The sequence below is a fragment of the Homo sapiens genome, chromosome 3 (genome assembly GCF_000001405.40).
Source record: "Homo sapiens chromosome 3, GRCh38.p14 Primary Assembly".
Taxonomy (NCBI): Eukaryota; Metazoa; Chordata; class Mammalia; order Primates; family Hominidae; genus Homo; species Homo sapiens.
In genome coordinates, this window is record NC_000003.12 from 21,938,427 (window position 1) to 21,955,635 (window position 17,209).

Below are 17,209 nucleotides of genomic sequence, written 5' to 3' on the forward strand. Positions count from 1 at the left end.
GTAGGCCAGATGTTTCTAGGCAATTATTGGCCTACCCACAGCACATACATGAATTAGACCTTGTTCAGACAATGACTCCACATATACTGCCCAGATGATAAGCATGGGATTTTTCTCCACTCCCTACTGTCTCACAATGAAACTATTATTTACATTTTAAGCATGTCTACAATTTGGCTACATTCTTCCTCTCCAACTGCGTCAGACACCTGCCATGTCAGTCACACTGCTCATTGCTGTTCTGCACTCACACGCATTCCTTTCTTACCGTGCTTCATGTGCACTTTCCCCTAAAACTAATGTCCACCTCAACACCCCCACCTTCTATGTCCATCTTTCTATGTGTAATTCAGTACAAAGGCTATTATCCCACAAAGTCAAGATCAAGTTCACTCCTTCTACTCTTTCTTATCCAGTTTCAGGCCTTCCCAACTTTTACTTTAATTTTATTCGTTACTTTGCAATTTAGTATATAAGTGTATTCTTCATTGTTTGAAGCTCATGAGGTAGTCACTGAACTGAACTGTGAAGTCTTCCAGTTCAAGGCCCATCTTTTGTGCTTCCTGGTATCTGGAATTTGGTTGCTAGAAGTTCTGGATGTCACATTGATGGGGCAGGTTTCTCACTAAACTAATTTTCCATGCTGGCAACTAAATGGGAGTTAAAAATGTCGGTAAAGACAAAGACAAGTGGAGACTAATGTGCTGTCATTACTAGGGCAAGAATGGTGGTAAAGTCCCTATATTTGCCCACTGAAATACCAACTATGATCATTACCACAATAATTAGCATTTATTGGGCTTCTACCCCGTGCCTACTTTGGCTCTAAATCAGGGGTTTAATATGAACATAATTGCATTTAGTCAGGATAACAACACTGTTAAGTACGTATTATTTTCTTCATTTTAGGGAACGTAAGGAATTTCTCAAAGACCATTCAGAAGGTAAGAGTGGTGAAAATGGAATCAAAACATAGTTTGACCTGACTGTACAACTTTTTACCATAGAACTCAGAAAGAATTTAGGCCTCTAAAAACTATACACTTGTTCACAAAAAAAACCATCCACCAATTATATATTGTAAATTATAAGTTGCATTGTATTTTAAAACAATAATCATTCAATCAAGCCCTGTTGAGCTCCTAAATATAGTATAGAAGGAATTAAATATCCAGTCCTTATAATAAAAAAAGAAAATATAGATGAATGGAGAGAAATCAAGTGTTAAATAAAAATTATATTAGAAATGTCTTAAAACAATTTGTGATGAGTTCAATAACTGATGCCATGAGATTATATCAAGGCTTACTGTGATTGTAGGCTGAAGGTTTTAAGCACTAGATTCGATAGGAGAAAGACTTTGGAAAAGGAATGGAAAGCTTTTCTATCATTGGAAGGGAAGGCCTCAGATGTGAGAGATCTATATAAGTAAAGCACAGTTCCTTGTTCAGATGGCACTGAGTAAACTCATTTGGCAAAAGGAAAAAATTCACATAGGGAGTGATGAATGGAAGAGTATTAAGTTGTCCCAGGGAAAGAAGAATGAAAGCATTTTTAGACTAACCAGTGAGGAAGGAAAAGTTAGAGCTAAATGAATTTTCTCTGAACATGCCTCACTTCTTTCCAGTTCTTTTATTTCCTTTTTTATTTCTTCCCTGGGTCTTTTTGTTTTAGAGGTCTTTGGAAACTTTTGTCTTGTTTGCGTTATTTTATAAGTTTCTGACAAACCACGAACTATGACGGTGTCTACTGATATTTCTCTATTCCTTTTTTCAACATATGAAAAAAATTTTAAGTGTAACGTATCATCAGGTAATGTGATGTAGCAAAAAAAGTGTTTATGGATTTTAAGGGCAAGCAGAGGTGGATTTGACACCAGTTCACCCAGTTCACCCATTTAGTGGCAAGTTGCTTACTCCCCATGTATCTCACGTTCTTCGTCTGTCAAATGGGAAAAAGAATAACTACTTGGCAAGTAAATTGGATGTGAAGATTAGGAAATACATATGTAAAGCACTATTTTTTACAACATAGCAAATGCAATGTTACATCTGGGTATTATCAGTTCGTTCAACATTCAAGTCAACAAAGTTTATATTTTATGCCAGAAACTCTGCTTCTTGCTGAAGTGCAGCAATGAAAACAAAACAGAACAAACCTAGTCTATATGCTATCAAGGAACTTAGATTCTAGTTAGGGAGATAGACAACAATCAGATTATAAATATGTAATATAGTTCACTATATTTCAATGCTGTGAAAAAATAAAAAGTATAAGTTAGGCTACGAGGATAAAAGTAGGCTTGGAGTATAAAGAGTTCATATACAGTGGTCAGGGAGGTTCCAAAATATATTTATTTTTAAGGAAGAAAATATATGTAAAAATATGCTGCATAAAATATTTATCAATGTCATAATACAGAAATAGTTTTGAATACTGCAAAAATAGTACCAACTTTGTAAGAAGTTACTTCAAATAGAAATACACCACAGAGGATCCATCCAAGTACTTTTACATAATTCATGTTTCATCAAAGGCTGAAAAACAAAGAATATTAAATCTAAAGTGTTTGAAACCGATAACTAATAAAGATCAATGAGGGACAAAAGCAAATTATCTTGGAAAGTGTGATTCCAGCCAATGAAAAAAGATGACACAATTTAACACCTACTTTGTATTCTGTAGAAAACTATTAAATGACTTGAGCACTATTTCTATTGTATGGTGGTTAAAAGGGAAGTCCCAGGAAACAAAATATTTGGGTTCAAAGCTTTGATTTTTCTTAGCTGTGTGACCTAGCTTATGGAATTTATATGTTACTATGTTGATAATGCCATTTTTGGGGAAATTTTGTTATTATGAGAATACCAATACATTCTCTGACAAAAATATTATCTATTTGGAAATAGAGTAGTAGTATATGTATGCACTAAGCTGACTCAAATGTCAGGTATAATACAATTTCCTACTTAGCTGAAATAAGTGAAGCAAACAATGATCTACCAAGTATAGTGATTAAGCAGGATGTTTTCTATGGTCTTTTTCCATTTTAATTCCATTACTCTTTTTTTTTTTTTTTTTTTTTTTTTGAGATGGAGTCTCACTCTGTCCCGCAGGCTGGAATGCAGTGGCATGATCTCGGCTCACTGCAACCTCCGCCTCCCGGGTTCACGCCATTCTCCTGCCTCAGCCTCCCGAGTAACTGGGACCACAGGCGCCCGCCACCACGTCCGGATAATTTTTTGTATTTTTAGTAGAGACGGGGTTTCACCGTATTAGCTAGGATGGTCTCGATCTCCTGACCTCGTGATCCGCCCACCTCGGCCTCCCAAAGTGCTGGGATTACAGGGGTGAGCCACCATGCCCGGCCTCTTTAATTTCTGTGTTATGGCCCACCTCATTCTACAATTAATTTGAGGCAACTAAATCTTTAAGCTCTATGATGAAAAATAAAAATTATTTTTTAGAAAAATTGTTCTTCCTCATTCATAGCCTTAGGTCCTTTTACAAAGTCCCATAGCTAGAAGCCATTAGGTTATATACAATTATTCTTCTTGAATTTGGGAAATTCCGCTTTCCTGGAACTTTTCTCTTTTATAAAGAAAATATATACAACATACACATGTGTATTGTCAAATGTATATGTTATAGCTAAGGACATGACAAAACAGTAACACTTTAACTTTATGTGTATTATGTCAAGTAACTGATAAGTTGTCAAAAATTTTATAGCGTAATTTTTAAAATTTCTGAAATATTACATTTTAATTTTTAGAGAAATCATACCCACTTGTTATTCACGTAGTTTGTTTTTAAAATAAAATGACTCCTTTTTTAAATGGTCAGAGGAGAATAAGCAAATAAAAATAGATTTGAATTCTTTCCCTAAACCTGTTCATAAATGAGGGGCTCTTTTGGATTATAATCCACATTCTAATTTCTAGTGAGTCATCCTTCCTTACTATGACACATAATACAAACAGAATGTAAGGACTCATCCTTCAGCTAATGCATTGTTTAGAAACTTAGTAAGCGAATAAAAGCGCGTGGCCACGAGGACACAAGAATATCTAAGCGCTGCAGAAACAGCCACATAATTTGCTCCTTGATTTATTGCATCTTTGGCAGGCAATGCTCTGAGCTTTCATGCATATATGGGCAATTGGGGCATCTGTGATGAAGTGCTGTTGACAGAAGTATGGCCCGTGGTAACATGATTGCTATAATAAGGAACCATGGTAAGTCAGACAGCTGTATCAATGGTTATTCTCTGCTTTGATATTTCAAAATGTCAACACACCATCACAAACTGTCAGGGGAAACAATTTAAAGATGTAGGGGAAGAAAAGAACACTTCTATTGGCAGTTCTTTAATCAGGTCATTGTTTAAGACATCCCTAATCACAGATATAATATATGCTGTTCTGTAACATATCTAAAAAACATAGGATTTCACCAAAAGCTGAAGGCCAACTTCATCAGTCTTATTTTAAAGTTATCACTTATTTTGCCTTGTAAGATGTTATAACTTAACCCTTCTAGGTCCACACTGGAATCTTCATGACAATGGTTAAGAACTTATAAATGTAATATTACTTCACATAAGAACTCATACTTCTAAAAATAAAAACTGTATCAGAAAAGCCAAAAAAGGTCTTAACTTTAGGCTAAATTCAGCTATTTCATACTGGAAGGCCTAAAAATGAGGGAAGTATTAATTTATTCCACCCAGTTCACATTTTGGTACTGTCTAGCTTATAGTGAAAAAAGGCATCTTGAAGAAATAACTAATTTATAAAAGCGACTAGTAAATACTAAATGGATATATTCACTGACTCTATATTTGAATGTGTGTGTGTGTGTGTATAGATGTGTGTGTGTGTATATATATGTATATATATACATATATATAGCGAGTGAGAAAGAATAAGTAATTATTTATTTGACTTATCCTGTCTTATCTCTTTTTCTATGTTCCAATTTATCAAATACTGATCTTTGATAGTATTAATGACTTCTGCAGTGACAACATCATGGAAAAAAATGATATATCTACTAATTATAATATATTCAGTATATTTCATCAATATTTTAACTGGGAAATTAGTTCATATGATACAGTATAGATTAAATTATAAAAGAAAAATAGCAACATGTACTCAACAAATTATATATACTACTTTGTAAGGGAAATGTCTTTTATGTACATAATGAATAAATGCATTTATATGTTAGTTACTGTGTGCTATAACTAATGTAAACATGTAGATTTTTCTCAACCAAAGTGAGAGATTTTACTAACCAGATATAATTTTGCTAGCAAAGAAGGAAATAAAGATACTACATGAACAGTAATTTAGTCCTGGCAGTTTAATGGAATGGCCAAACTAAGCCTGAAAACACTGATGCATTTTGTTGCATATGGAAATACAAAGAAATCATTAAATACTGTTACATTTGACGACAAGAATTATGACTGTGTTAAAAATTCAATCAAGCTTCCTTGTCAGTTCAGTAACGATAATTTTAACATGTTCATACCAAAACCTAGTGAACCATGGAATTGCATTCAACAAACAGAATGAAGCCAGATGCTAAGTCTATGATTAAGAAAATATTAAATATATTTACCATTTATTTATATTTTCAGCTGTATTGTACTTAAGTAAAAGGATAGTTTTTTAAATGGAATAAAAATTCATATATACAGCACTCTTCTTTTCTACAGTCTTACACATTAACTTACCCAGCAGCATTGCACTTTCTGCTAATGAAAAGAGAGCAGGCTGTACAAATCTTCTTAAGTCTCCTGTGGCAAGAAAACTATTACAGAAATGAATAGAAGGTCGTCTCTGCAGATTTTCTCTTGCCTTCTTGTTTTACCAGAGGCTGTTAGGATCACACTGAGAACTGTCAAAGCTGAAGAAACCACTGACAATTGGGTTTATACCCTTTGGGCAGTCAAGCTTTCATAGGGGATGATTCAACTTTGTCCGAGCACCAATATATTAGAAACAATGCGAAAACTCCCAGTGACTGGAGCCTGGCTTGTAACTGTAGACAAAGAGGAACTTTTCTGCTGGTGGTTCGCAAGGAAAGGCTTGTCGAAGAGAGTTAATTCAAGCAGCCTGAAATTACGTCAACCCTGTACATTTAAGCACTGTTAATCTGCAGCTTTGCACATTGTATTTTCAAAGCAGTTCAGCTGAAGGGTGGGAGAATAACTAGGTTTACAGAATCATTTAGAAACGTTAAATTTCTTAACTCCCAACTTTGACAAGAAAATGCTCATTAGTGTTATGGGATGAGAGAGGAGAAAAAAATTTGAAAATCAAATTAAGATTATTATTTTATATTATTTTATGACACATTTAATTTTTTCCAGAATAAATGAGCAAATTCATTGATGAATAAAATTATAGAAATGTAGATATATATGTAAAGTACTTACTAGGTCAATACCTTCATCTTCATTTTATAGAGCAGTACAGTTGAGTACTTCTTAATGAGTTTTGTAACTCTCATTTACATAGAAAACATTACAAATTCCCTATCAATATGAATCATTTGAAATTCTTATTTTCGATTTACACATAGGTAGTCTCTTAGAAAATATACATCATAATATTTGTCAAATACTAAATGCGTATATTCACTGACTATATTTGAATGTGTGTGTGTGTGCATGTATATACGTGTGTGTATATATATGTATATGCATATATATATACACACACATATATATATAGTGAGAGAGAGAGAGACAGATTGAGAGAAAGAGAATGAAAGAGAGAAAGAGACAGAGAGAGGAGAAAGAGAAATTTTTCTATGCCACACAGGCTGGGATAGAAAAATGATAACTGACTTAATAGAGTTTGTGAATATTGTCTGGTCTTCAGAAAAATTTTTTAACCAATGTGAATGTTCATGCATGCAAAATGCATGTTTATGGTGAGATGCACGTTAGTTGTATGTTTTCTTCATAGAAGAGCAAACATTTTAAGCCTGGTTTTTCTACTCACTAGCTGTGAAAACTTCAACAACTCACTGAAAAACTTAATTTCAATTTCTGTAAAACAAAAATAATAATGCCTAGGGAGCTATCAAGATTAAATTATTTTGATCATGTGAAAGAAGATGACATAAAGTAGGTTGAACAAATGTTTTTTTCTGGACTAAGAATTTTACACCATGGTAAATGTTTATCTTCAAAAACTTATTTCGTTGCTTTTATTGTGTGTCTGGCTCAGTGATCCTCTGCCCAATTGATGTAAGTTTCTTAATCCTACCCTTAACTAGAATTGCCATGTTAACCTACATTGTGGAATTACCTAACTTTGTGAAATGTCTTAAAGAAAAATTGTTTAAATGTGTGCCTTGACATATGAAGCTGATGAACTCATATTATGTGTTTATACTGGAAACATAAGTAATTATGCTTCATTTCCTCTTTGAGGAATTCAGATTAATAAGTCTTACATTTTGAGTTATGCTTCTCAATTTCAGAGCTCTCTAAAAATTAAGAAATCAGTTCACAGTAATATGAACTTAAGCTGAACTCAGTAATCATCTCTTAATTTTACTTAATGCAGTGTGCATATTCACATGGCAAACTAGCTGATTTAGCTGACCGCTGCTCAGGTCATGGATCAATTCACCAAATGTATTTATCTATTTCTCCAAAGTCATACACCGGTGAACCACAAAATTAGGATCTTCTCTTTTGGAGAAGCATTGGTTCCTTGATTTTTCTTTTAAAGAGAAAGAGAACTTTTCTCTTTTAACTTAACCATTTCCATCCTCTATTTAAAATGAGACAATTACAGAAAGTAAAATATTTAATAGTCTATTAGTTATTTTACATTCTTTATATACACAAAACATTTTTATGTATATATATTCAATGCTGTATATCATGTACAAGAAATTCAACACATAAAGCAGTCTACATGGAGTCACCCATTAGTTTGTAGGCATTGCAAAGTTGAAAATTAATTCATTAGATTTTAAAGATAAAAAGTTTTTGAAGTTTTTCTTTGTTTCTCTAATACATATTTTTAAGTAGAATGTTCTTATGAACTGATTTGTTTTCATGTAACACTATGTTAAAACTTACTTTCTCAGGCCAAGCACAGTGGCTCACACCTGTAATCCCAGAACTTTGGGAGGCTGAGGCAAGTGGATCACTTGAGCTCAGGAGTTGGAGACCAGCCTGGCTAACAAGGTGAAACTCCGTCTCTATTAAAACTACAAATATTAGCCAGGTGTGGTAGCTTGCACCTGTAATGCCAGCTACTAGGGAGGCTGAAGCAGGAGAAACACTTGAACCCAAGAGGCGGAGGTTGCAGTGAGCCGAAATTGCGCTACTGCACTCCAGCCTGGGTGATAGAGCGACACTCCGTGTCTAAAAAGTAAAAATAAAAACATTAAAAAAATTACTTTCTCATTTTGAAGCATCTTCCACAAAAACATTTTTAAGAAGCCATATCACATTGCAATGTGCAGATCTACCATAATTATTTAAATTCAAATACCTGATTGGTCTTGTGGATTAATGCCAATTTGACCCTTCTAAAAAAAAACATCAGTTTGAGTATGCCTGAGAAATGTCTTGTGAATCTATGATTTCTTTCTTAACCTAAATTTTTCCAAATGGAATTTTGGGGTCAAAGGTGATATAAATATTTCAGTTTGCACTCATGAAAGTTTGTAATAATTAATATACCACTTGGATATAAGGAACACTGAATATTTTACTTACAACTCCACACACAGCATCAAACTTATAAATACAATAGCGAATTTACGATTTAAATATATTTTGAGTTGCTTATATATAAATATTGGCAAATTTATGGTACAGTTAAGCCACTCTCTTATAAAGTTATGTCTTTCAAGGCTCTTTCATGTATTTTACTAGTTATTTATTTATTTATTTATTTTGAGACAGAGTCTCGCTCTGTCGCCCAGATTGTGTGCAATGGCACAATCTCGTCTCACTGCAACCTCCGCCTCCTGGGTTCAAGCCATTCTCCTGCCTCAGCCTCCTGAGTCGCTGGGATTACAGGTGTGCACCACCATGCCTGGCTAATTTTTTGTACTTTTAGTAGAGATGGGGTTTCACTGTGTTGGCCAGTCTGGTCTCGAACTCCTGACCTCACGAACCGCCCACATTGGACTCCCAGAGTGCTGGGATTCCAGGCGTGAGCCACCGCGCCCGGCTATAAGTTATTTTTAAATTGGTCATTTGCATGACTATTTTTTGCGTGTAATATCTCTATATGTATTAATCCATCTATCTTTTTTCTATCATCTGTATTTTTGTTGATACACCAAAATATATCAATTTTTTAAATTTATGGTTTCAATCATTGGTGTTATGCTTAGAAAGACTCTTTCCAAGTCAGGGTTATGTATTTGTCTATATTTAATAGAATTTGTTACTTTTGAAGCAATATTTCTCCTGGGTTTTGTTTCACCACATTATATGAAGTAGAGAGCAAGATACTGTTTTTAATTTTTGATACAATTAGTTCTTTGTTCTGATGCCACTTGAAAAACCCACTCTTTATTCATTTTAAATGCTGCCATTATAATTAATTTTCATATAAATTTATGTCTGATTCTGGACTTTCTGTTATAATTTACTAATTAATGTACATCTTTTTTTCCTGTCAATATCACACTAATATAATTACTAAAGCTGTGTAACATCTGACAGTTCAATCCACCATCAAAACTGGATGGATTCTTCTCTTTTCTTAATTATATCAATAAATTTCATAAATGGCCCTCATTTTTTTTACACTTACTGAAATAGATTAATTTAAGAGAAACAAAGCATTCCAATATTGGCTCTATGACATAAAATGTAAAAAGCAAATTAAAAAAAACTTTCCTGGTATTAATAAAACATTCTGAACCCAGAAACTCTTTTAGGAGGCAGGTTTTTCTTTTCTTTCTTTGCATTGACAAGTTTTTCCACAGATACTGATTTTCTGCTCCTCCTTAAATTCCTTAAGTCTCTTAGAAAATTTACATTTTATAGTAAAATATTCAATATTGCTGGAGGGTTTTGGACATATAGTCACATAACTACCCCGCTTCTCACATCTAATATTATATATTTGTATATGCCATTTTCGTTGTGAAAAATACCAGATTTCTATATACTGAATTGGCATATAATATTTTGATTTATCAGTTTTATTTTTTCTAATTCATTAGATTCTGCTATAATCCATACACTTGCCTTCTCTGTTTTCCAATTGCATGAGACAAATATTTCATTCATTGTCACTTTTTTCTCAATTTCATTGTTCACTGTAAAAACGTTGAAAAATATAGAACAAAAAATGTGAAATTAACTATTATGTTACAATTGAAAAATAATTTTTGCTATGAAGTATAAGAAATCTGTCTTTGATCTAAAAATCTTGTGTAAGATTTTAGGATAAAATTAACAAAGAAAACTTTAAATTAAACAATTATTATAGTTTTACCAATTACATTGACAAATTGCCCTCCAGGAATGGTCTATTTTTCCTTCAATACATTGGGTTTTGCAGTATTTCATGTCCTTACTTAATATCCAAAAATTTTACCTTTTTACCATTTGTGCTCTTTAACTTACATGTATTTAGTTACTAGTGATATTGTGATATTTAATACACTCATTGTTCATTTGTTTTGTGACAATTCCTTTTATCATCTGCTTAATTTTTTCTTGGAAACTTTATTTTCCAATTGAATTATAAGAATTCTTAGGGAAACAGAATTTTTGGCAAAATACTACAAATATCTTCCCTGATTTTTCAATAGTGTTTAATAATTCTATATGACATGGTGTCCTTTTAGATATTTGTGAGTGTTTGTGTCTGTGTGTGCACACATTAGAAATGCTTTCCACTTGAGAACCTGTGTTTCATCCTCCATCCTGATGTGCTGTGCCTTTTCCATCCCATCGGTTGGGGTGGCTATCTTTATTGTTGGGCCTCTCAGTGGAGTGTAGGTGTATTTGAATGCTATTGAGCTCAAGTGTTTTAGGGTAGTCTAAACTAGATGAGTGCTTTCTGAGTTCGGCCTTCATCTCCATGCCCCTATTTTCTTTCCTTCTTTTCTTTCTTTCTTTTTTTTTTTTTTTTAATACTTTTAAGTTCTGGGATACATGCACAGAACGTGCAGGTTTGTTACATAGGTATACAAGTGCCACTGTGGTTTGCTGCACCCATCAACCCATCATCTACATTAGGTATTTCTCCTAATGCTATCCCTCCCCTAGTCCCTCACCAGCCAACAGGCCCTGGTGTGTGATGTTCCCCTCCACGCGTCCATGTGTTCTCATTGTTCGACTCCCACTTGTGAGTGAGAACAGGCAGTATTTGGTTTTCTGTTCCAGTGTTAGTTTGCTGAGAATGACCATTTCCAGCTTCATTAATGTCCCTGCAAAAGACATGAACTCATCCTTTTTTATGGCTGCATAGTATTCCATGGTGTATATGTGCCACATTTTCTTTATCTAGTTTATCATTGATGTGCATTTGGGTTGGTTCCAAGTCTTTACTATTGTGAACAGTGCCACAATAAACATATGTGTGCACATGTCTTTATAGTAGAATGATTTATAATCCTTTGGGTATATACCCAGTAATGGGATTGTTGAGTTAAATGGTATTTCTGGTTCTAGATCCTTGAGGAATCACCACACTGTCTTCTACAATGGTTGAACTAATTTACACTCCCACCAACAGTGTAAAAGTGTTCCTGTTTCTCCACATCTTCTCCAGTATCTGTTGTTTCCTGACTTTTTAATGATCACCATTCTAACTGGCATGAGATGGTATCTCATTGTGGTTTTGATTTGCATTTCTCTAATAACCAGCTATGATGAGCTTCTTTTCATGTTTGTTGGTCACATAAATGTCTTCTTTTGAGAAGTATCTCTTCATATCCGTTGCCCACTTTTTGATGGAGGTGTTTTTTTCTTGTAAACTTGCTTAAGTTCTTTGTAGATTCTGGATATTAGCCCTTTGTCAGAGGCACAGATTGCAAAAATCTTCTCCCATTCTGTAGGTTGCCTGTTCACTCTGATGATAGTTTCTTTTGCTGTGCAGAAGTTCTTTAATTAGATCCCATTTGTCTATTTTGGCTTTTGTTGCCATTGCTCTTGGTGTTTTAGTCATGAAGTCTTTGCCCATGCCCATGTCCTAAATGGTATTGCCTAGGTTTTCTTCTAGGGTTTTTATGGTTTTAGGTCTTACATTTAAGTCTTTAATCCATCTTGAGTTAATTTTTGCATAAGGTGTAAGGAAGGGGTCCAGTTTCAATTTTCTGCATATGGCTAGCCAGTTTTCCCAACACCACTTATTAAATAAGGAATCATTTCCCCATTGCTTGTTTTTGTCAGTATGCCAAAAATCCAATGGTTGTAGATTTGTGGCATTATTTCTGAGGCCTCTATTTTGTTCCATTGGTCTGTATATCTGTTTTGGTACCTGTACCATGCTGTTTTGGTTACTGTAGCCTTGTAGTATAGTTGGAAGTCAGGTAGCATGATGCCTCCAGCTTTGTTCTTTTTGCTTAGGATTGTCTTGCCTATATGGGCTCTTTTTTGGTTCTCATTAAACTTAAAGTAGTTTTTTTCTAATTCTGTGAAGAAAGTCAATGGTAGCTTGATGGGGATAGCATTGAATCTATAAATTACTTTGGGCAGTATGGCCATTTTCATGATACTGATTCTTCCTGTCCATGAACATGGAATGTTTTTCCAATTGTTTCTGTCCTCTCTTACTTCCTTGAGCAGTGGTTTGTAGTTCTCCTTGAAGAGGTCCTTCACATCCCTTATAAGTTGTATACCTAGGTGTTTTATTCTCTTTGTAGCAATTGTGAATGGGAGTTCTCTCATGATTTGGCTATCTGATTGTCTATTATTGGTGTATAGGAATGCCTGTGATTTTTGCACATTGATTTTGTATCCTGAGACTTTGCTGAAGCTGCTTATCAGCTTAAGGAGATTTGGGGCTGAGACGATCGGGTATTCTAAATAAATATACAATCATGTCATCTGCAAACACAGACAATTTGACTTCCATTCTTCCTATTTGAATACCCTTTATTTCTTCCTCTTGCCTGATTGCCCCGGCCAGAACTTCCAATACTACGTTGAATAAGACCCTATTTTCTGAATTAGGGTTCTTCCACTGTCTCCACTACTTGTTTTCCATGACAATGCTTTGCTTCTTTAAAAAGTGAAGCTGTTGGTGCACCTACATGGTCTTTATTCAGGCCCTACTTTTACTATACATACTGAAATAAACCCTTCAACTTTTAAATTTGTTCTATATATACAATGCATTTTCTAAATTATTGGCTTAAAGGTAGGATTCTCCCCCACTCTTGAGTTTATATTCTTTTATTTAGCCCCTGGAAAAAGAATAGAAAGAAAAACTTTCCATTTCTGCAGCACTTGCATGGAGATAGTAAAACTGAATGTTATGTTTTTCCACAAAGAGCATTAACTAGATGAGGTTGTTGAAAAACCATGACCTTTGAGAGACTCCATTATTTTAGATCTTCAGGACCTAACTGACCCCCTGAACTCAACACAAGACTGTCTTGAGCAAAGAACAATGGGACTCTTTTTAAGCAACTAAGAACCAATGATCTCATACCTTCCTATCCAGAATGTTGCCTTCAATTGTTATATGTGATGTAAATATGATGTAGTAACTATGATGGTTTCCTCTCTCCTCTCATGGCTTAAAAATCCTGAATTGACCCCTCAGTAGGATACTCTGATTTTTCTCACTGATCTGTATTTCCTTGCCTGGCATCTCCACTACTTTTATTTCCATTCCCAAGATCTAGTGGTCTTTGTTTTACTCTCTAACGTGACATTTTCTTGATCCTAAGACACCATAAAATTTTAAAACACATTTTGAATTTAATAAAAGGCCTCATTAGGAGAGGCATCAATCAACATCAACATGATACAAAATTGTTTGCCTTAATTTTAAGCCACAACCTGATATCAGAATTATTAAAATGTGAAAAAAAATGGACTATACTTTTAAGGTCAAATGGCCTGGGTTTAAGTCCTGATGTCATTACTTACTTGATGATTTTGGAATCCCCCTAAACCTCAGTTTTCTCACCTTTAAAATATAGATAATAATAAAACCTAACTCAGAAAGTGGTTGTGATAATTAAATACTTCAAATTTAACTACTAACTCCGAGCTTGGCCTAAAACAGTCACTTAAATATATTTATTTCATATAATTATGGATTAATTTTTGGTGACTGGTATCAAAATCTTTTTATACAATAGTATAAAAATGTAACTGCTACTTAATATATTTTATGATTCTTTCAAAAAAGTTCCAAAACTAAACATTTCCATTGCCTTTTATATCATACATAAACTAAACTCAAATGAAATTTCTGATGCCAAAGGTAGAATTGCTAGTTACACGAAAAATGTTCACGGTCTATAAACTCATTTCTCAGACTTTCAAAGAGGTTTCCCATGATGCCTTAAATACTTTCTATTCTTCTCCCTTACTAAACACATTCAGCAATCACAAAATCAAGATTGCAGGTATCTAGTTTCTTTATTTTCCAGCTTTATGTGCTTCGTTGGGTTACAAACTACCACAATTGTCAAACCTGAGTACTCTACAGTATTATCTTCTCTGCTGGCCAGATTTTCCTCAAGTGTTTCTTTTCTTTCCTGTCTCTGTTTAATTAAATCTAATAAAACATTTGTAAAGGTCATGTGGGAAATGCACATTTCAAGCAAGCAGCAGAACTTACAAACTAGAGGCTCAGAATAAAACTTTTTTTTTTTTCCTCTAAAAAGTTACATCAAGCTCAATAGGTAATTATTTAGTTTTTGGATGACAGTAAAATATCTGGAAAAAACGTAAAATTGACTGGATCTTTGAATTCCATTCTGATTTTTCATTATATCATTCTCCTTTGATTCATCTTTTATGACTATATTCCTTATGCTATATTTGAAACTTCCTGAACAAATATAATTTCAGCAAGATTAAATATTTACATCCAAGTAATACTTCTAAGAAAAGTTTTATCAAATGGCTAAAATACAGTTTATTCAATAGCTTTGGTTCTTAGTGGCTACTTTTAAATAGGGTAGCTTCCAGGAAAATGACATTAACTCATATTTTTTACCTCAACTAAACCCCTGTGTTTTCTAAACATTCAAGGAATAGAGAGCATTTTTGCCCTTCCATTTAACTTCAGCAAATACTATAACCAGCCATCCATTTTTTTAATATTCATGTAACTAAAATAAATATGATGCCTGAGAGAGTAATTTACTTAGGCTTGCACAAAGATACCACTGTAGTGTTTGGAAATTAGAGAAAAATTAGAGTAAGTGATTTCTAATTACGGTAGTAAACTCACTCACGTATACACACACACAATGAAGGCACATGTAGCCTGCAGCAAAGCACTAACAGAATTGTTTAAAATGAGATCCCTTCCAACATGCTTTGCTGAGCCAGATTTATAAAATCGTGGATAAATATAAGCTGGACAAAAGAGAAAAACAAGGAAAAGATACTCAAATTACTTCTAATTGAATTATTTTAAGGTAAAAAGTCAGATTTTATTTAATCACAGCATAAGTGCTGCCCTCCATCCCCATTTGGAAGATAAGATACAACATATGTCCTCTAAAGCACAATATTGAGTCACGTCTTCTGATTGCTTTGCTGTGTTAATAATTCTCTCTGTACCTCAGTTTCTTTGCTGTAACAAGGGTCTTATAACAATGACAACTTCAATGCCTGAATATTCCATTTTAACACTTACATATTAGGTGATGTTTGACCCACAGCAGATGAAATTTGTCTCTAAGTAACTTGCCCCAATATGTCTTTTGTTTCAAGTAAACACATAGGGATCAATATTCTCAAAATTAGAGTTTTTGACACATTCTCATGATGGGAGTTTTTAATTATTTTATAGGCTCACAAGGATCTAAGGAGCCTTAGTAACACTTAGAATAACTCCTCAACCTGGAGGTTTCTAAACTTTCTCATTTTGCAGCAATTTTAGTGTCTTAGTAATATTTACACGGGACCCCTAGGCCAAAAGAAATATGTGAGTTCTGTTTGTTAATTAGTTAGGTGTAAACAACTTAATTTTTATATCCTTAATAGTTATATCCTAACAACTCAGTGGCAACATGATTCATTAATATATATTAACTGAAGGTAAAACATTATTTCTATTTCATTTTTAAATTATCACAGTGACTTACTAAGGGAATCCATGTTCCTGTTGGACTCAAAACAATTTCCTAAACTTTGGAATAATGTTAGACATCCCCACCCTCACTTCCCTTTCCTCACTGACTTTTGTGTTATACTTGCATCATATCACAGCAACCACTGAAAGTGAAGCTTTACAAAAATATGACATAATGAAAAGGAATGTAGCACAATCTAATGTTGAAACTGTGACTAGCCCCAAGCAAGCAGCCTGCAAGGCTGTCTAGCCTTCGAAACACTTAGAAATCTGGTGATGCCCCTGTGAGTTCACTGGAATGCTTAAGACTGACTTTTAACTTTTATTGTAAAAAGTCAAGGTTTTTTATCGTTACCAACAGATGTTTTTGTGTTTACTACAAATGGAGCATCATTGTGAAAAGGTATGACAAGTTATTTCATCAAACAAAGGAAAAAAACTTTATAAAATTTCTCCTTCCTACAAAACACAGTACAGTAACATAAATGTGGATGCAACACTATAGGCAACTGACTGCTTATCCTTCTTGCTGGCTCTGTTCTTAAAATGGCTGGAGGAAGCAGGTGATATAGGAGATGGAAACTAAAGTTCTTACTTTCTTGTAGGGAGTGGGGACAGGGCATGAAAGAAAAAACAAAGCTACATGGAAAATGCAGGTAATTCCACCCCCAAAAATAGGGAGGAAGAAGATGGGTTCTCTTGTCTCCAATGTTCTTCCATATCCATCTCCCCAATTCTGGCCAATAAATATCACCTAAACAGGGAGGTGATTTCTTAAGCTTCTGATGCATCTTAAGAAATCAGAAGCTTAAGAAAGATCATTCTGGATTCAGAATCATCTCTGTTAAAACTGAAGCCTGGGTGAGGAAACATTACTTGCGGTGCCAAACCAAACAAAAACTTGAATTTACCTAAATTTTGCAATCTGT

The 17,209-nt window shown here is 34.0% G+C and overlaps 1 protein-coding gene across 10 annotated transcripts in view, besides 1 other annotated feature; it reads right to left on the reverse strand.

Annotated features, from left to right (window-relative positions):
* Nucleotides 1-17,209, reverse strand: part of ZNF385D (zinc finger protein 385D) — a 960,546-nt gene that overhangs the window by 526,209 nt on the left and 417,128 nt on the right. For 2 of the 10 annotated variants that reach the window (XM_047448960.1, XM_017007198.2), the window contains exon 1: nucleotides 5,747-5,921. The exons of the other annotated variants lie outside the window; for them this stretch is intronic. In XM_047448960.1, the coding sequence (XP_047304916.1) occupies nucleotides 5,747-5,756 (10 nt within the window). In that variant the 5' untranslated portion in view covers nucleotides 5,757-5,921. Of the gene's footprint in view, nucleotides 1-5,746; nucleotides 5,922-17,209 lie in introns of those variants that run through there. 10 annotated transcript variants of the gene reach the window in all.
* Nucleotides 7,798-7,967: an enhancer, noted in NCBI's record as "experimental_68153 CRE fragment used in MPRA reporter constructs". NCBI's record gives its function as "activates a minimal promoter by MPRAs in K562 erythroleukemia cells, with activity observed for both the introgressed and non-introgressed 3:21987801 variant alleles {active_cell/tissue: K562}" and the evidence as "EXISTENCE:reporter gene assay evidence [ECO:0000049][PMID:34662402]".